A 21,959-nucleotide genomic window follows, 5' to 3' on the forward strand; every position below is an offset into this window, starting at 1 on the left:
ACTTGGATCTAATTAGAATAAAACATCTGTGAAATATGTTTTCCCAGGTGGGGAAAATACCACTGATGACTCAGCATTGACATTTACACCAATCCTAGATAAGATGTTCAGAATATGTCTTAAATATCTTTTGGCCCAGTTCTGGATCCATTCGTTTATTTCTCTGAAGTTACTGATGACTTAATAACTTGGTTATGAAAGGCCATCAATAAATGAGTAGAAATAAATGAATTAGTCTAGTGTGTGCTCTGCTTGTGCACTGAGGGTTGAAGATAAATGTGCTAAGGGAAGGCCGGTCTTTGAAATCACCCTGGAACAGGGAAGGTATCTGATGAGGCAGCACAGAGAGCCAGCCCACGGGAGGGTCCAGATGGGCAGCGGACAGCAGGTAGCATCAATCTATCTGGATTCTTCTGAAGCAGAGATCAGCTCACACCTCAAGGACAATAGATGTGAGCAGTCATCACAAGTTGAATCTGGAACTTGATGGTATTTTTCTTATCATTAGCAATATTTCTTCTCTTTCGAGGATCTTTATTCCAGAGGGGATGTGGTGTGCATGTTAGAACAAGCATAGGTGCCAGAAACTGAAGACCAAGATTTGAGTTTAGTTACAACATTTTAGTAATAATACTATTATTAATAATGCCAACTCTGAGCCTCATGTTTCACAGCTATAAATGGGAACTGGTGAGTCAAGCATGTTGAATCTCAACTTTTATTTAACTAGATACTCTAAGCAGCAGAATGTTTGATACATTGGGATTTTCTGGCTCTTTTATTATCCTCTGTTTTTCTGCGAAACTTTTAGAAATGGGCCATTTGATATCTTTTTCTCCTTAAATAAGGCAATAGACCAGAGGTTGGGAAGTGACAGAATAGCAGGCAGTGGATAGTTTTCTTTTAGGTGATCCCCTAATACTTAACACCCTCTAGAGAGGGAGCAACAGAAAAATTATGATGGTACTCTGTTTTGTGCTTATTTGAACCCCTGAGAGAAAACAAAAGGTTCTGGCAAGAAATCTGTGAAAAACAGACACCAAAGCAAGAAGGGATTGTTTATTGTATTAACTTTGATGAAAAAGAACTAGGCAAATGTAAATACATTCCTTTGTCAATATTCAAATATGAGGAATTTGCTAAGTGAACTGGATGAACTCTGCTTTGGGATAATCATACGGGATTGCTCCTCATTTCAGGGGGATTCAGTGGATTAAGTGAGAGAGGGAGGATTTTCCTTTCTATTTCTCAAGATTTCATATTCAATATTAATGTCAGTGGAAGTTGCATCAACTGATAACAAAGACAAATAATTATCATAATAAATCTGCAGAGCTCTTTATGGGCTCCAAGGAACTTTTTAAGGTAGTACCTGTGAATAGAATTTGCTATCAATACGTTTGCCCTACTGTCTCCTTCCAAATTGGAGTATATTTGTATAACAATTTCAAATGCATTGCCTTGACTTTCTAATTACCAAGGAGAGGATCAGATTCCATGCTTCTAAAGAGAAAGAATTCTGGGTTCTGAAGAGGGAACACAGTATATAATTCAAGGGGCAAATAGAAATATTTTTTTCAAATTTACATTTTAAAAGGTGAATCATTAATTCTTAGCCTCTGCATAGAAAGCAGTTTATAAAAATATTCTCACCTTCCCAATGCCCAGTTAAATTCATAAATATTACCAGGAAGATAGAGTCAGAAAATACATGCCTAGAGAGAAAAAAACTGAGACAACTAGACACAGATGGATAAAACTGTTAAGATGACACAGAGATCTCACAGATAGACTACCAGATGGGCTTGGCTCATGCTTTAGCTACAAAGAAAGGGCTTGGTCCAGGTAACTTTGTCTGTATAGTAGATCCAAGTTAATCCAGAGATAAATAAATTATTTGGTTCAGGAAAATATAATATGATAATTATGGTGGTCTTAAAGTGTATATCTATGTATTCTTTGATATTTTTTCCTTTAAAACATGGAACTTACCTGCAGGTAGAAAGTAGAATTGTGGTTACCAGAGGCTGGGAAGGGTAGTTGTGAGGGGAGGATAGAGAGAGGTTAATAGGTACAAAATTACAGCTAGATAGGAAGAATAAGTTCTAGTGTTCTGTAGCACTGTGGGGTGAATATAGTTAACAGTAATTCATTGCATAATTTCAAATAGCTAGAAGAGAGGATTTTAAATGTTCCTAATACAAAGAAATGAGAAATGTTTGAGGTAATGGCTATGCTAATTACCTTGACTTGATCATTACACATTGCATACATGTATCAAATTATCATTCTGTACCCTATAAGTATGTACAATTATTACGTGCCAGTTAAAAATTTTAAAATTAAAAAAAAATCTCTTTGAAGGAAAAAAAAGATGGGGCCTAATTTCTCTTCCTGTTGGGTGTGGGTCATACTTAATGGCTCATTTTTCATAAATAGAATATAGCAGAAATGATGGTGTGTCATATCCAAGAGTAGGTCATAAAAAGGCATTGTGGCTTTCTTTTTTGCTGTCTCTCTTGGACCATGTGCTCTGAGAAAAGTCAGCTGCCCTGTTGTGAGGACGCTCAAGAAGCTCTGTGGAGAGATCCATGTGGAAAGGAATTAAGTATGCCTGCCAATGGCAAGTAAGGAACAGAGGCCTTCTGCCAACATGGAAGCGAATCCTCTAGGCCCAGTCCAGCCTTCAGATGATTCTAACTTTAGCTGACATCTTGACTGCAACCTCATGAAAGACCTTGCATCAGAAACACTCAGTTAAGTTGCTTTCCAATTCCTGATCCATAGAAACTTTGAGATAATAAATGTGGGTTGTTTTAAGCCACTATATTTTAGGATAATTTTTTATGCAGCAATAGAAAATTAATACAATGATATACTGGAATAATAAATTCCAGATGTGAAAGGTATTGAAATAACGATTTGGAAAGAGATAATAAAATGTTGAGGCCTACATTTGCATAGCTCTTTACAGTTTATGAACTGTTTTCATAAAAGTAACATTTGTGGTATAGAAGACATATGTTCCCTCTTAAAAGTATATCAAAAACTATCCTGGGTCAAATATACCCATCTTACAGATTGAAGATTAAATACAAAGACAAAAAATGATGGACCAACTTAGAGAGAGGAGGAAGTTCACAGCATCTCACTGTACCTGCTTCATTGTATTCTTAACTAATGCCTGACACATATCATAATTCAGTTGGTGTGATAACTCTTTTATATACATGTACACAAGTATATGCATGTGCGCGCACACACACACACACACACACACACACACACACACCCTAACAAATAATTTTCCTGGAACAAGAAGATCCTGGTTCATGCTAATAACAAAACCCAGAACCACTACTGCCATAGTAAAGGTAAGAGTCTCACGTGTAGATTTGTGATTCCATTATTTAGTATTTTGTATGTGTCTAAAAACAAAGGAAAACAATGTGTCTCCCTACAAAACCACTTCATCATCGCTTTCACAATGGCTAGCCATGATAGAATAACTGGATCATAAACATATGATAGGATTCAGGCATTGGATAACTGGCAGCAAAGGACTGTGATCCTTGAAAGAAGGGAAGAAATGAGGTGAGCCCTCTACTCTCCTTGACTTGCTGCCTGTAAGTCATTCTCTTGAAGGTAAGGAGATAAAGTTCAAGCAGAGAACAGCAGTCTCACTGAGTTGAAGAGCTACAGATGGGAGTTAGGGTACCGCTGGAGTGGCTGTGTACAGAAAGGAGGAAACTGCACAGAGAGGACACCCAGAAGTCTGTGGAGATGTTTCCCTTATGTCCTTGGTTGAACACTGACCTGTACATGCACAGGTTGAGGTTCACAAAGGCTTACAGGGAGAAACTCTTGTGAAATTGAGAAATAAATGGAGAGATTAAGATCACATAGTGCTAAGAAACACTGCAGTTTGGTCCAGCTAAAGCCAAAAGTCAGCTATTCTATTGAGACCTCAGAAAAAAAGCATGTTTTATGAGTAAGGACAATGTTCTAGAATAATGACCATGCCCTAAAACCGAGGATGAAATGAAAATGTATCAAGGAAGGCAAGCATAGAACTAAGGCTTACAAGATTTTAATGGCTTGACTGAATAAAATTCAGCAAACTTTATAGAATACTCCACACTCCATTCAATGTAATATTCATAAGACATAGCATATCATAACAACTGCTAGACATGGGAGGAAGCAGGAAAGCATGACCTGAAGCCAGAAGAAAGGTAACCTATAGAAACAGAACTTGAAATGACTCAGATGCTGGAATTAACAGGCAATGGAATTAAAATACTCTAAAAAATATGGTAGGGAATTTAAAGACAAAGAGACAATAAAAACACAAGTGAATATTTCAGAAGGATGTAAATTGTATTAAAAGAACAAAATGGAAATTCTAGAATCAGGCAAGGGAAGGAAATAAAGGGCACCCAAATTGGAAAAGAAGAAGTCCAGCTGTAACTGTTCACTGAGGATATGATTGTACACCTAGAAAACCCTAAAGATCCCTCCAAGAGACAACTGGATTTGATAAAGCAATTCAGTAAAGTCTCAGGTTACAAAATCAATGTACACAAATCAGTAGCACTGCTGTATACCAACAGTGACCAAGCTGAGAATCAAATCAAGAACTCAATCCCTTTTACAACAGCTTCAAAGAAAGATAAAATACCTAGGAATATACTTAACCAAGGAGGTGAAAGATCTCTATGAGTAGAACTACAAAAACACTGCTGAAAGAAATCATAGATCCAAATAAATGGAAACATATCACATGGTTATGGATTAGAAGAATCAGTATCACGAAAGTGATGATACTGCCTAAAGCAGTCTATAGATCCAATGTAGTTCCTATCAAAATAACTACCGTTTTTCACAGAATTAGAAAAAACAATTCTAAAATTCATATGGAACAAAAAGAGCCTGAATAGTCAAAGCAATCCTAAGCAAAAAGAACAAATCTGGAGGTATCACATTACTGGACTTCCAATTATACTACCAAGGCTACAGTTACCAAAACAGCACGGTACTGGTATAAAAGTAGATACATAGACCAATGGAATGGTCTAAATGGTGCTGGGAAAATTGGATAGCCACATGTAGAAGAATGAAAGTGAACCTCTTTCTCTCTCACCTTATAAAAAAAAACTGAAGATGGATTAAAGACATAAATCTAAGACCTGAAACCATAAAAAGTCTAGAAGATAACCTAGGAAAAACTCTTCTGGACACTGATCTAGGCATAGAATTCATGACTAAGACCCCAAAAGCAAATGCAACTAAAACAAAAATAAATGGGGCCTAATTAATCTAATAAACTTACGTGTAGCAAAATAAATTATCAATAGAGCAAACTACAGAATGGGATAAAATATTTGCAAACTATGCATCTGACGAGAAACTAGTGTCCAGAATCTATAAGGAACTCAAACGGATCAAGAAAAATAACAAATAATCCCATCAAAAGGTGGACAAATGACATGAATAGACATTTTTCAAAAGAAGAAATACAAATGGCAAAAAAATGTGGAAAAATGTTCAACATTACTATTCATCAGGGAAATGCAAATTAAAGCCACAATGAGATACTACTTTACTCCTGCAAGAATGGCCATTATTAAAAAGTCAAAAAACAATAGTCATTGGCCTGAATGTGATGAAAAGGGAATGCTTACACACTACTGATGGGAATGTAAATTAGTACAATCTCTATGGAAAACAGTATGGAGATTTCTTAAAGAACCAAAAGTAGATTTACCATTAGTAAATTCCACTACTGGGTATCTACCCAAGGGAAAATAAGTCAATATATCAAAAAGACACCTGCACATGTATATTTATTGCAATACAATTCACAACTGTAAAGATACGGCACCAACCTAAGTGCCCACTGGCCAATGAGTGGCTAAAGAAAATGTGGTATGTATATACCACTGAACATTTCTCAGCCATAAGAATGAATGAAATAATGTCTTTTGCAGCAACTCAGATTGAGTGAGAGGCCATTATTCTAAATGAAATAACTCACGAATGGTAAACCAAATAACTTTTGTTCTTACCTATAAATGTAAGCTAAGCTATGGGTGTGTAAAGGCATACAGAGTGACATAATGAAATTGAGAGACTTAGAAGAGGGAGGTTGAAAGGAGCTAAGGATTAAAAAATTACACATTGGGTACCATGTATACCACTCCAGTGATGGGTGCACTAAAATCTCAGACTTCACCACTATATAATTCATCCGTGTAACCAAAAACCATTGTATCCCCAAAGCCACTGAAATAGTAAAAAAAAAAAAAAAAAAAAAAAATAGCCATTAAAAATTCCTGGAACCAAGAAGTACAATATTTGGAATTAAAAATTTACTAGATCAGCTTAAAGGCAGATTGGATACTAAGAAGAAAGTGTCAGTGAACTTGAAAAGAGATCAATAAAAATTATGCAATTTGTAAAACACAGAGAAACAAGATTAAAATAGACTAATACCTAAGTGATATGAGAAAAAAATATTAAGTAGCCTAATGTATATAAGATTGGAGGGCTAGAAAGAGGGCAGTAGGAACATGGAGAACAAACATTTTTCAAAAAGCAATAGTTGAATATTTCCCGAATTTGATGAAAAATATCAACCAAGAGTTCCAAGAAATTCAGTGAACCCAAATTAGGATAAATTCTAAGAAAACTAGGCATATAAGAATCAAACTTCTAAAAAACTAGAGATAAGAGAAAAATCTTTAAAGCAACCAGGGAAAGACAGAGCATATTATGTTCCAGGAAATTAAAAAAAATTCAAATGACTTTTATCAGAAAAAATGGAGGCCAGAGGCCGGGTGTGGTGGCTCACACCTCTAATCCCAGCACTTTGGGAGGCCGAGGTGGGCGGATCACGAGGTCAGGAGATCGAGACCATCCTGGCTAACATGGTGAAACCCCGTCTGTACTGAAAATATAAAAAATTAGCCGGGCGTGGTGGCGGGCGCCTGTAGTCCCAGCTACTGGGGAGGCTGAGGCAGGAGAATGGCGTGAACCCGGGAGGCGGAGCTTGCAGTGAGCCAAGATCGCACCACTGTACTCCAGCCTGGGAGACAGCGAGACTCTGTCTCAAAAAAAAAAAAAAAAAAAAAAAAGAAAAAACATGGAGGCCAGAACACAACAGAATGTGATTTTCAAAGCATTGACTTTCAAAGAAGACAACCATCAAACCAGAATTCTATATCCAGTGAAAAGCATATTAAGCACTATTTAACAGATAAAGAAACAGGAAAATTCCTAATTATAATTGGAGGTTTTATGTTAAATTTTTAAATTATTTTTCAAAACAATTTTTTTGTGGGCACATAATAGGTATATATATTTATGGGGTACATGAGATGTTTTGATACAGGCATGCAATGTGAAATAAGCACATTATGGAAAATGGGGTATCCATCCTCTTACATTTATCCTTTGAATTGCACACAAGCCAGTTACATACTTTAAATTATTTTAAAATATACAATTAAGTTATTATTGACTATAGTCACTTTATTTTGCTATCAAATAGTAGGTCTTATTCATCTTTTCTATTTTATGTACCCATTAACCATCCCCACCTTTCCCACTGCCCCAAACACCTACTACTCTTCCTAGACACTTCTAACCATCCTTCTACTCTCTAGATCCATGAGTTCAATTGTTCAATTGGGGGTTTTATCAGTAACTGATAAAATAAGTAGACAAAAAAACAAGTTGACATAATTTACACTTACTGAGCTATGCCAACTGGATTCTGCAGTTGTTTGGTATAGTATTGAAACAGTTGCAAGAATACACATTCAAGTACACACGGAATATTCACCAAGATATATCAATTGGAACCATAAAATAAGTATCAGTACATTTCAAAAGTCTGAAATTGTACAGATTACTATAAAGTCCAAACTGTTTACATTGGCTCATGTGACCTATATGGCAGACTAATTGCATTAGAGGTGCCATTTTTTCAACCCTGTATCTATGGCCTTTTCCATGTAAATCTGCAGTTCTTTTGACCAAATAGGAGTCATTTATTCATACACCTGTTTTTTAGGACGACCTCGTAATTTTCTCTGGTCAACAGAATGTAGCAGCAATGCCAATGTATCACTTCTGATGCTCAGCCTCAAGAAACCTTGCCTGTTTTTGCTTACATTCTTGCCCTCTGTCATGGCCAGGAGAAAGACCTACTCAGGGTAGCCCCCTGGTCCCAGATGAGATGAGAATCATGTGGTGCACAGCTAAGGCACTTAAGTCATCCCTATTAAGGTTATCCTAGATCAGCTGACAGCTCTCCAACTCCAGACACATGAGCAAGCCTAGCTCAGATCAGCAGTTATCTAGCAAATTGTAGCTGACCCTAGATATATGAACAAGTCCACTATAGAACAACTGAACCCCACAGACTTGTGAGATAAGTATTTATTGTTCACGCCTCTGAGATTTTGCTTGTTATGCAGCATTGTGTGGCAACAGATAACTGATCCTGCCTATATCTCTGACTCATAGCTTATAGTATTCTTGGTGGCTCACTGTAGCTATACTTGCACCTTTGCTATTTCTCAAACAGGTAGGCATGTTCCTGCCTCAGGGCCCTTGTCTTGTCTAGTATGGTCTTCCTTTAGACATCTGCATGAATAAGAGCTAAAGACTGGCTGGCAACTCAACCCTTGCTGGGAGGAAGTAACAAGCAGAGAATGATGCAGGTTGACCCTCTCCTCCTGGGAGACAGTAGAGCCTGCTGCACTGTGAGTGAAGGATGACACACTCTGCAGTAGGAAAAGACCTCCTAGACAACGGGCCCATACTCACAGCTTACTGGGTTTGGGTGAAGGGAACGATTCCAAGGATGAGGAATATACTCTAGCCTCTTGAAATGAGAATATGCTTGATACTCTCGATAGGGTTGGGAAATGAGGCTGGCCAGGAGTTAACAGGGAAAGGATTACTCAAATGTTAACTGACAGGCTATCCTTACTGGGAAGAAAGAACACGTTTACAGATTGGATGTGGTGCAATGGTGAGAATGAAACGGCTTTGGCCTTTAGTTCTGGCTCAGCCCATCACTGGTTTGTTGTCTTGGGAAAATTAATTCTTTGAACTCCAATTTCACCATTTGTAAAATGGGAGTGATATAGGTATCTTGATTGGTCAAGGTAAAGATTAAATGTGATTATGTATATATACACATAGGTATATAATTGTTAATCACTTAATATATAAAAATGCTTATTAAAGTATAGCTGCCACCTTCCACTTCTTCTTCCTTATTATCATTCCTACTTTCTAGAACATGTACTTGCAGGAACTACCGGTAAGATAAAAATATAGAATTTAGAATTTAGTCCTATGCAGTAAAAAGTTAGTAGGGGGAGGACATAATTTTGAATCTAAAAGCCATAAGTAAGTATAACCAAAATAAATTCAATGTTGGCCAAGGGAAAACCCAAGATATTTTCTCTGAAATGTTTATTTTATTTTTCTCAAAATACCATTAGTTACAATGACATTGGAATGACATAACATTACAAAAGCTCTCACCTGGGTCACATCAAATTTTGAGACTCGTATTCTATTTCTGAAATATTCGTAGAAGTGTAGTGTGAAATTTACACTCTATGAGACTAACTCCAACAGTACAGGAGCAGTAAATGCAGAAAGTATGGAAAAATGTTGATAACTGTTAAGTTTGGGGGATGGGTATGTTAAGATTCATTATTCTCTTATCTTTGTGTTTATTAGGAACATTTGAAAATATTCACAAAGAAAAATTTTATTTAATGACCATGATGACCCCACTATCTGCTAAATTAATCTCTTCCCTTCTTGAACCTACTTATATTTCCAACTCTTGCAACTCTGGAAGGCCCTGAATAAGAACTATCAATTGTGCAAAAGAACAAATACTTTTATTATTCACCCATGGCCTCTTCCAGGCTTCAAAGGTATTCCAGGTTATGGTTTTCTGGGAGTTAGCAAACAAGTCTTCATTCGCTTTACACCTTTCATATTTTTACAGATACTTTGTTGTGCCCCTTCGTAGTTCTAGTCTTTCTGATGGAAAAATCCTAATCCTTTTAATCCCTGCTGCTCTGGCAGCAGGTCCCTCTGTCAGTTATTGAAGTTGCCCTTCTTCAGACCTTTCTCAGCTCTGCTGACTTTCATGTGCTGCAGTGACCAGAACGGATCCACCCAGGTTACACACAAGAATAAAGGACAACCAAAACCAGAATTTCAATGAAGGGACTTTCAGAAACAAAAGAAAATTGGAAGGTAACGTCGAGAAACCATTAAGTAACAAGCATAGTGTTAGAAAATGAAATTGTATGAAAAAAGATGAAAATTATCCTCATCACAACAGCTGGCAGGGTGGAATGGGGAGAAATTTATTTTAATGGGCTAATTCTATTACTTCCAAGCTCCAAACCAAACCATCAAGGGTGTCTATCACATTAGAAAAAAACTCAAACCTAACACCATGGCCAATGGTCTGGCCCCTGCCCCTGTCTGTTTCTCCCACTTTTTCTCCATCCGCTCCCACCTTGCTTACTCAGCTCCAGCCATGCTGGCCTTCCTGCTGCTTTTGTGCACACCATAACCCACTGTGACTCCAATGCCTCCATACTTGCTGTAGCCTCTGCCAGACTACCTCTCCTCAACCCCTTCTCACATGGATTGTTTCCTCCACACATCATCTGGCCTCTGATCAAATGCCACTTCTACCCTGACCAAGTAGCCTCCTCGCCTGTTCTCTATCCTCTGACCTGCTTTACTGTGATCATGCTTTGAATGTATAGAATGCAGTTTACCTTTTTCTTATCAGTGTCCCCCAATAGAGTATATACTCTGGGAGGAAGAGAGCTTTGAATTGGTAACTCCTGAATCCTCACATCTACGTTAGTGCCGTAGGAGTGGGTACCAAGAATTACTTGTATGAATAAATGAATGAATACATGCACGCATACCAGTTAAGAGTGGAAGCTCTGGAACCAAACTGTCTGGGTTCAAATTCCACCTCTCCCTTCTGTGTGTTCTTGGGCAAGTTTTGTCTCTGTGTACAATTTCCTTATTTGTAAAATGCAGATAATTATAGTACCCACTCAGGGTTATCTTGGAAATTAAGTGAGCAAACGCATATAAGGTGCTCAGAGCAGTGTTAAGAATAATAGCTAGTGCCCAACGAATATGGGAGTGAGTACGATCAAATGGCAAAAGGGAAAAAGAGAAGCAATACTGGCAGCCTTTCTTGAGTAGCAGGAGTTTTCTATTAAAGGACTGAAGGCAAGTGTGGTGCTCCAGTGACTCTCACCTACTCTGAAAAGGTGTGCTTTCAAGTACAAGGAATCAATTACAAGGGAAACTTCCTGTTGTGTGGGAGGCTACCTGAGGGTTTTGTTTTTCACATTTAAGAGGCATAAAATTCACAACTGCAGTATCTTCCAGTTCTCAAATTAGCACGTTTGCATGAAGTATGCATCCAGAGTGTGATATCTGCATATGGAACATGCTCTCTAAAGCTTTTGTGCCTGGTACAAATAATTGTGTAACACCATTCACATTCTAAAGGTATTGTATGGCAAAAAGGAAAGTTGTGACATTACTAGTTAGCCACAGCTACAAGTTCACATTCCCAAAAGTTATTTTACTTTCCACAGCAGAGAACAAAGAAGAAATTTAAAAACATATTAATATATATAATTTTAAATATATATATATAGTTTATTCTTGATTTTGAGAGTGTATAATCAGTAACAGCTATAACTACCTGCAAAATTTTTAGCCTTTGGTAAGTAAGAAGGGTTTCTGTGTATGTGTTAAGGCTGCCCATTACAAAGATTAACCTATTTGTTAATGCAAACCCAGTTTAATAAATGCAAATCAAGGGGAAACATACAATCCTCCTAAGAATTGGGGTTATGTTACATAATCCAACAGAGCAAGAGATGTTGATAATAAGACAGGTGTTGCCAGGCAAAATGAGAGCAGAGAGGTTCTTGACAGTTTGGGAAGTACCAAAAAACGGTCCAGGTTCAGTGGCAGCTGTGAGGACACTGCAGCTTGTTACCTCCCATCAGAGCCCACTGTTTCCTGTACTTGATACTGAAGATAAGCATTATCCCAATGTGTGGAGAAAACCTCTTTCTGAAACGTAAGTTCTTTGGTAATCGAACATTATCATGAATAAGAACACTTACAGTATACTTCTTAAAAATGAAATCATTTGTAGGTAGCAGCAGTTCAGGAGGCGCCATGTCAATGATAACGCTACTTACTTAACATTTAGATAGTGCTGTATGTGTCCTCTACAGGAGGCCCCAAGTGAGAAATGTCTTTAAAAACATAGTGATGTTTCGTGTCACTTGAGGAGAGGGTATTATTTTTCCTTCTAATGATGTGAATTTAATATATTACCAATTATTATTTCTTTATTTCCCCTTTGGCCATCAGAAAGCTTACTTATGGTTTGACTACAGTAAGTCTATAAGGCCTTATGATCTGCTTATCCATGATTCTTTATACCCCTCTGGTTTTGACTATCTGCTCTTATTAATATTTTTTACTGATTTTTAAAATTTCTATAAAAATATGTTACTATTATATGTGGTGGTTTAAGCTGCCTCCAATCATCCATAAAATGAGATGGGTTTAGCTTAATTAAGTTGGGTCATTTTCATAAACCCAATTTCCCTTGATTATCATAAATAACATCCTGGAGAGGCAGACGTTATTATCATTTACATTTTATAGAGAGGGAAACTGAGACCCAAAGGTGTAAACACCTTGCCCAAGACCCAAATATCACAGAATTTTCACTGTTCTATGTTATGCTATCCTATTTCTCTAATAAAAAAGTAACTTTAATTGCTATAATATCTTCAGGTAAGGGTTATTACTGATTTAACAATGATGAACTTTGTTTTAAAGTGTCACATGAATGAGATAAAATAAAATACATTTAAATTGGAAAGGATTTAGGCTAGTAGGAAATTTTTACCAATAACAGTATATGTGATTGTAGAATATTAGGCAGTTAGAAGAAGACAGAGAATTTTATTTGATGAATTTTATAATTGTGTCTTTTCTTCTTTTAAAGAAAAAGGTATACAAGAAGGACAAAATTTAGATAAAAGTTTTCTTGAAGGTAGGAGAATGAATTATTTGACCTACACAAGATGAAAATGCTTTTTAAAAATCAGCCACCACCAGACATTACTGACTATTCATTATAGCCCACCAGTGTAAGGAGATGGGCTTTGATCTCCTTTCTAAGGTCACCAGGCTGGCTCTAATCCCAGTGCTTTGGGCACCCCTGCTGTGCTCCATCCTGCAGTTAGGTGTGTTTCCTGGACAATGGAGTCTGTGGAAACTGCCTGGCCTTGGAACACATGTGACAAAAAACCTCAAAGTACATGAGAGCCAGGATCATCACCAACTTAATTTCCCAGCCTTTTCCACAGAGCACAGGCTCCTTTCTTTTTCACATCTGTGTGTGCCAGGAAAGCAGTGTCTTGCCCAGGAAAACTCACCAGTTGTGCCTCATTGATGGTGTTATTGGAAAAACAAGCATGAAATAAAAGAGAGGGATTCCCTTAGAATACAAATACGCTCATAACACAATTCATTAAGCAATATCACTTATTTATGATATTCTCCTATTATATCTATGTCTGCCTACTTCTAATTTCAGCAAAAAGGTGTAAAATTTCCCTACATTTTCTTATTTGTGACAAGTACTGAGTTTAAAATGGTAGTGCAAAACTGACATTGATAGATTCTACTTTGACGTTAGGTTCAAATTCAGTTTGGAGAATGCATTTCCCCTACTTGAGGTGATATGGTTTGGCTGTGTTCCACTCAAACCTCATCTTGAATTCTAACTCCCACAATTCCCATGTGTTGTGGGAGGAACCTGGTGGGAGGTAGTTGAATTATGGGGATGGGTCTTTCCCATGCTGTTCTTGTGACAGTGAATGGGTCTCACTAGATCTGATGGTTTTAAAAACAGTTTCCCTGCACAAGCTCTCTCTTTGACTGCCACCATCCATGTAAGATGTGACTTGCTCTTCCTTGCCTCCTGCCCTGATTGTGACGCCTCCCCAGCCATGTGGAACTGTAAGTCCATTAAACCTTTTTCCTGTATAAATTACCCAGTCTTGGGTATGTCTTCATCAGCATTATGAAAATGAACTAATATATGAGGGAAGAACTCATTGTTCTAAACAATTACCCCAAAGGATTTTCAGGTCTCTGTAGATAATTGTTGCTCAATTAAGTCAAAGGATGGATCACCTAGACAGTTTTTTGGGCCTTAGACCTGATAAATGAGAAGCTATCCAGGAGAAATAAGTCAATTTGTTGTTTGTGCAACATGCATTGGACATACTTTGTGTAAATTTCACTGAGTTGGCTAGCTAGCAAGTTGCTGGGTAGGGATTTGAACTATGAAGTGCCTCATTCCAAGAGCCATCATATACTTTGTAAAGTTTCCAGACTTCCTGCTGCCATAGAGAGGCTTGCAAGTACATGCTAGTTCTAAGCATTCATATGCTAGAAGTTATCAACACCCTGAATTCCCTTGTATTTTATTGTAATCTCATTTGTTTTATCAGCAGAGGAAGCTCCGTTTAGAAATAGCTCCTTGGTCACATGCTGGACAAACATGGAACAGCCTATGGAACAGAACAATCATATCTCTATATAATGTGCATTGGTTTCTTTGACTTGCCTGGTGTTGTGAGGAGGGGTCCTCCTTCAGATTTTCATCCAGGTCCACGCCAACTCTGTTAAACAAAACCAAAAACTGGTCAATCCCCTGCTGCAGAAGGAATGAGACAGTCTTGTGTGTCAGATGACCTAACCCAAACACAATGTGAATCTGAGAAAAGATTTGGCAGAAAACTATCCTACGTCTTCTTGAATCAAAAGAACCTCAGATTTATACCAAAATAAGAACTTGAACAGCTGGGCCTCAGGATGCTGGAGAAATTAAGCATCAACAGCAGCTCTTCACTACTGTCGTTCCTGGCAAGGTAAGCATCCCTGAGAACCTAGGACAGCAGCCATCAGGAAAAAGACCTCCATAGCCCCAAAAACACACATTCTGGAAAGAAGGTGACCTGGTACCTCTGCAACCAACCATTGACCAAAATGCCCTGGGAATTTGTGTGCCCAGCCTGGAGCAGGGTTTCTTGAGGCAGAGTAAACAGAACGTTTTTCTAGAGACTCCCCATAGGGAGGATTCAGACTGTGGAGCCTGAGGCATATACAATTTGGGGGCTCTCTCTTTAAGGAAAATAATACAAAAATATAAACACAAAATTGGGAGTGAAAGTGACTCTTCAGAAGGATAAGTTACAAAAAAAATTACATATGTTTTTAAAGCTGGCAAATGCAATAGACCTCTCAAAGCCCAGGAAAAATACAAAACATTTTAATTAATTAGCTGTCTGACACACTGCTAAAATAACTTTCTTCCGGAATTTTTGCCTACTGACTTTGCTACTCTCTTTATATGATAATGATTTTGTATTAGAGAATAAAAAGATAAGGCAGTCTTTCCTCTAGCAAGACTGATCAAAATTGTTGATAGTTGGAAGGCATTAAAGCACTCTTTCTCACACACAGACACGCTTGCTATGTGCCTCACTGCTACAGGGTAATGCCCTGCAAATGCAAGATTTCTGATAATTTTTATTTTATGCAATTCCCATAAGCAATGCACAGTGTACTTATCAGTGTACATGCTTTGCCATTGAATATATTCCTGAATTTCCATTTTGATGAGGCATCAATGAAAACTGCATTTTATACATCTCATGATTAGAAGAATTTTCAACAGAGTCCCCAGTCTGGCTCAGTCCATCTCAAACCTTGTTTTTCCTCCACTACCCACAGACTTCTGATGCCAGGCACCATAGGACACGTTTATATTTAATTCAGCCTTGTGCATTATTCCTGTAAGCTGTTCCTACTCCGGGGTGGACAGCAGTGGCTTAGCCATGCACAGAAGTGACTGCAGCCCACACAAATGTATCGCATTCAATCTAAACTAAATGTACTCTCAATTCAGCTTCCCCTTAGTTGGATCCCCCAAATGCCCACAGCTATTCCAATACCATTTGATCAGAGAAGTATGAGGAAAAGGAAGCTGTAGTGGAAAGAAACAGCAGTTGAACCCAACTGTGTTGAAACTATGTATTTTTTTGCAAATCTTACAAAAATATAAGACCATGGGAACACAGTACTGGGGATCTTCCCAGGGCCTTGGAGGGCCAGACCAAGTGAGGGGCCCTGAAACTCAAACTTCCTCTGTTTCCAGAGAGAGTCCCTCTGCCTGCTTCAGCTGGAGTGGGGCAGGGTGGGAGTGCTGGGGAGAGGTCTGGCCCAAGCTCCACCAGAGCCCTTCCTGTGAATCCACATTTGCTAGACATTTAGGGACTTTTCTTCAACTCTTGTTCCTCATAAACACCTCCCTAATTATCTCCCAGTCCTGCTGTTGGGGTGGGGGAAGCAAGGCCATGTGAGAAGCCTCCAGTCAAGCAAATGTGTAACTCCTTATAAGGAGAACAGTAACGGTAAAGTCCCGCCTGTTTAAAATACCTCTGATTCTTCACAGGTAAGTGTCTTCTGGACATGAATAGCCCCATCTCTCTAACCAAGGGAACAAATTAATAGCTATTTATTTTGTGCTGAATTTTTTGCCTTTAGGTTACTGGGAAGAGCCTCTGGAGGGGAGGAACCTTTGATTCTTGGGGTAGAAAAACTAGCTATTTGATTGATGTCATCTGAGGAGGAACAAGAAGGGGAAGGGGAGGAGAGGGAAAGGATGTCAGTGAGGAGAAAGGAGAGGGGAAGGGATGAGGGGAGAACAGCAGTGTAGAGAGGGGTGGGGGTGGCCTGCCTCCGACAGTGGGACCCAGGTGTGGAGGCTCCCAGCCCCCTTCTCTTATGGGGCCAGGCCACTCTCACAGCTGTGTGGTGGATCAGAGCCCTCCAGCAGGTGCTGGCTGTTCCCTAGAGGCTTCATTGCTGGATAAACCCAGATCTCAGGGATGAAGCTGCTGGGCACCCAGGTTGGCCGTGAACTGAACTGAGGATCATGGGGCTCCCACCACTGTATCTGCTTAGGGCCTTTTTCTAGGTCTCTGTCTAGAAACCTGGAGAGGACAGAAATAGAATTTTATAAGAAGCCCAACATTTAACGTTTGAGGCAGCACTGAGGCCTTTCACTAAAGTGGAATCTTTTCTTTGCAGCAGCAATCAGAGCAGACATTCCTGCACAACTAGATGGGGCAGAGGAAGTGATGAAATTCTTTCATTTGATGGGGACTCAGTGGAAGGCATCTCAGAGACCTGACTGGGAAGAAGACTGTACCTCCTCCCACATCTCATCTCAGGGCAGGTCCAGAGCAGGACAAACGCCACAAGTGGCTTGAGGAAAGAGAACCTCCATGAAAGGTGTTTCCCTCCTGGGGAAGCCAGGGTGAACACGGTCCTTGCCCACACAGGGCATACGATTCGGGAGGTTCAATGAGGATAATATAAAAAATGTACCACAGCTTAAGGGCCATGAAGGAAACAATGCCTTCTTTCACTTGTGATATTAGCTGCTTTTGAGGAAAATCTGGCTAATATATGTTTCTTGGCTACCTGCCTCCTTAAATAGTGTGTAAGGGGGATATTCTAATCTTAACTGGAGGACTCAGCATTGCAACTGGTCCCATAAAGTCTGACACTTGCTTCTTTATAATGATTTCCAAGAGGTGTATGAACCTTTTTATGATCACGTTAAATGGTCCCTGACTACTGTCTTTTTTTTTCAAATTATTGTATCTGCCAGTTAGATTGCCTTTATTTTTCCTGACTGTAACAATATGTTGACATATTGTCCCTATGACCCCCACCCCTTTAATTTACTGTAGGACTAACCCTGACAGTCAAATTTATTTTTATTTTCATTTTCTATCTATCTATCTAATTTAAATATTATAGAAAGGCTTACAATCACACACAATTGTTCTCATAATACCCTTGCACCCCTTCAGACCAACTCCCATTGCCTTGGAGGGCAATTTTCTGCCTTTTCTCAATTGTGATATATAAGCTGACATAGACATGCATGGCACCTTCACACAGCATCCCAAGGGGTATGCAAACATGCCAACTACATCTGTATCTCTTACTCTCCTCTTCAAGAAAGCAAGTCAGAATATGGAACTGACATTATTTTAGGGCTAACCATGTATCCATTCACTTTAAACAAATTTTTACAGCTCTTTTTAATGCATGAGCATCCACTTTTGTGCACAAAAGATCATTTATACGTAATGAGTTTTTGAGAGATTAGAAAGAAGACATAATATTGTCCCAGTTTGTGGTGTTACATGTATATAGCAGCCCCCCAGGTGAGATCACAGTATGAAGTCCAACCTCCTTAGGTGACATCCAAGGGTCTTTAGCACCTCTCCCTCAATGTTAAGCTAGCCACCCTTTCTGCTCACCTGATCTGGACAGTGTCCTGGGTCCGGTAACTGGACTTGTCCTTGTTTCTGAGCCCCAGCACCAAATACAGTCCCTGAGCTCTGGCCATACAATAATCTGCCAGTTTCTCTCCCATGGACTGGACCCCCTCCCTCCAAACTCCAGGCTGGTATTTTGGGCCACGCTGGCTACCACTGAACTTGTGCGATACCCTGCCTTCTTTCCTGAACTCCAAGCACTGTCCTCCCTTCTGTCTGATCACCACCTTGTCCCATCCACCACGATGCCCTTCCTAGGTCTCAGATCTCCCATCACTAGAAGTTACTGAGACTTGGAGTGAAGTAGCTGTACTCCTCCTACTCTGCTCTCTGCTCCCAAATAGAATCCCTTCTGGGCACTGGAGATCACCTTGCTCTGTCTTTGGCGACCCTGGCTCACCCTTTGCTCACCTGTCTGTTTATACCCAGGCATGCAGGGCAAGCTCTACAGTATACATCGGCCCTAGCTGGAATCTGATGACTTCATGATTACCCTGTAGTTGTTCAAGGGTCAGTGAAACCCAGATGTCAAGAGAGTTGTTTGGAGCCAGACTACCTGGGTTGAAAAATGTGGCTCTGCCTCTCACTTGCTCTGTGACCTGTGTCACTCACTCTGTCTCCATCTTGGTTTCCTCACCAATACAATGGGGATAATTAGAGAACTCATTTCACAGGGTTGTGGTGAGGATTAAGTAAGAAAATAGCTTAGGACCTGTTATATAGTAAGTTTTTAAGAATGTTAGCAGCTATTATTGATATTATTATTTTTCAGTACTTATCAGTGGGGCCAGAGCTCAGTTACTGATTACTTTCAGAGATAAGCCCTCCTAGTCCTTGTTTCTGCACTGGACAACCTTTGAATATATAGCAACCACCACAATTGAGCCACAAGGAGCAGCCAGTGTACAGCAAGGATTTCTGGTCTCATAGCAAAACATTATTTCTGTTTAAAGAGGGCCAAGTTTCCCAGGTTTTGATTTTTTTAAAATTTATTTCTTTTATTTTTGAGACACAGTCTCATTCTGTCACCCAGGCTGGAGTATAGCGGTATGTTCTTGGTTCACTGCAACCTCCACCTCCTGGGTTCAAGTGATTCTTTTGCCTTAGCCCCCTGAGTAGCTGGGATTATAGGCGTACGCCACCACACCCAGCTGATTTTTGTATTTTCAGTAGAGATGGGGTTTTGTCATATTGCCCAGGCTGTTTTCAAACTCCTGGGCTCAAGTGATCCATCCACCTAGGCTTCCCAAAGTGCTGGGATTACAGGTGTGAGCCACTGTGCCTCGCCTGGTTTGGAATTATTTATAATTTATTGGTAGACTAGTTAGGGTAATAAGGCAACAAAGAAGGAAAAGAAGGTGTCTGAAGAGCAAGGAGAAACAAGGAAGAGGGAAGAGCTGAGCAGAAAGCAAGAAAAGAAAAGGAAGGTGAAAAGGAAAGATAGAGAAAGAAATACATTACTATAAAGAATAGGTGCCCATCGTGGATAAATAACTGTAAAGGTGCATGCAGCCTTAGAAAAGGTAAGCCGAGGGTGGAGGGAAAATATAGAAAATATAGAGAAATAAATATAGAAAAAATATAGGGAAATTAAGAACCAGTAAAGAATTAGAAAGCAACTAAAAAAGGCTGGTTAAAATTTTATATGATGTTTTGCATTCCTGATGTACCTTTTAATTTTAAGCAAGTTGAGTGCTGCCTCTATGGTATTCAAATGGAAATGAAGGCAAGCATTGCACATATTCCCAGCTGTGCCCTCGTACATCTCACTCCGGGTTCCTCATTTACAATGAGCATCAAGCTCAATTTTCAGAGCAAAACACATCTCTTGTGCACCATAATGCACCCTCCCTTCCTATTGCACTTCCACTCTTTGGTGAGTTTTATTAGACATATTAAAATCTCAGGATGCTCTTATACCCAACCATAGTTAAAAAAAAAAAAATGACCCAAAGTTGGGTTTTTCTTAGAGGGAAAGCAAGGTAACTAACAAAAGCCTCACTTTTCCGCTAAAGCCAACAACTTCCATTCTGATTCTTACCACTTAGCACCTCCAAAAAGGCACTGAAATACTACTAGGGCTTAGTTTCATTGTGTGAATTCCAATAGTCTTAGGTGCAGTTTTGATTCTTTTGAGCCCCCTGGTGACAGGGGCTGGGTGGTGGGGGAAGATACATTATTTCCTCTAAGACCTGCTTTTGATGGCAAAGTGTAAAAAAATGACATTTTCAGTAAGGGAAGAGTGGCTGGAGATTGAGCACATAAATACAGCTTGACAATGGAGGAGTCTGAAAGATACCCACTAAGGTTTGGGGACTATTGTGTAGCCATGAGAATATCACTTGGGGGCCAACATCTGCTACTGAACCCTGTATTATTTGACTAAATAATCCTGGAGTTTGTGTAAGACCAACATTAATACAATTAATAATTCAAATATTTTAATTTTGTTTTGGGAAATAAGAAAATGAACTAAAGTAAGTGAAAAAACTCAGTTCATTTTGTTATTTAAGTGTGGCACAGTAGTTAAGAATTTAGATCCTGGAATCGGGTTGCATGGATTCAAATTTCACTTCCATTATTTGCTACTTCTATAACTTTGAGACAAATTAGTTAACCTTTGCAAATCTCAGTTTTCCCAACTATAAGAGGGGATAAGCATATATATATTTCATGAGCTATTATAAGGATGAAATGAGTTAATAAAATACATAAAATATTGGCTGCCATCTAGGAAGCACTCATGAAATATTAGTTGATGCTCTCCTTGTTAGTGCTGTTATTATAAGAGAAATGTGTGCACCCTACATTGAGTCATAGATACAATATAGGTTAAAGACAAGAGCGGCTTTTCCATAAATGACAGATGCTAGGATATAAAGGTCAATGATAGGATTCCTGCCATCAATGACCCAAGATCTAATGGGAAAAACAAATCGGAAGCAAAGAACCACAGTATGGTGTGATAAGCATTGAACATTAATTATTTGAACACACCAACAAAGAGCCTGATCAAGATGAGCTATGGAGCAATTAGGTACGTTTCACAGAGGAGATGGACACTGAAAAGTGAGAATGAGTTTAATGGTAAGAGAAAAGGTTGGGGAGGGGACTCCAGGCACGGCATGGGCAAAGGCATAGGGGAACAAAGTAGGTTGGAACATCATAAATAGCTCTGTGTGGCTAGACTGTGAGGGTCATGAACACAGAGGTGGACAGAGTTGCTTTGGATGACACCAGAAAGTAAATTAAGGCCAAATTATGAAGAATCTTGAGTGCTATGCTTATGCTTTTGTTTCTCTGTAGGCAGTAGGGGGTGAAATAATTACATTTATGTTTTAGAAAGATCACTGGAGGTATACATTGTGATATTAAGAAACTGGTGGTTGTCTTCAGGTTGGGAGAGAAAAGAAAAAA

At 39.0% G+C, this 21,959-nt stretch overlaps 1 protein-coding gene across 4 annotated transcripts in view; it reads right to left on the minus strand.

Moving 5' to 3' along the window:
- Positions 1–21,959, minus strand: part of SLC9A9 (solute carrier family 9 member A9) — a 583,247-nt gene that overhangs the window by 102,089 nt on the left and 459,199 nt on the right. For all 4 annotated transcript variants that reach the window (XM_017006203.2, NM_173653.4, XM_011512703.4 and 1 more), the window contains one exon: positions 14,750–14,804. In XM_017006203.2, coding sequence (XP_016861692.1) covers positions 14,750–14,804 — 55 coding nt within the window. The remainder of the gene's footprint in view (positions 1–14,749; positions 14,805–21,959) is intronic.

The sequence above is a fragment of the Homo sapiens genome, chromosome 3, assembly GCF_000001405.40.
Source record: "Homo sapiens chromosome 3, GRCh38.p14 Primary Assembly".
Lineage (NCBI taxonomy): Eukaryota > Metazoa > Chordata > Mammalia > Primates > Hominidae > Homo > Homo sapiens.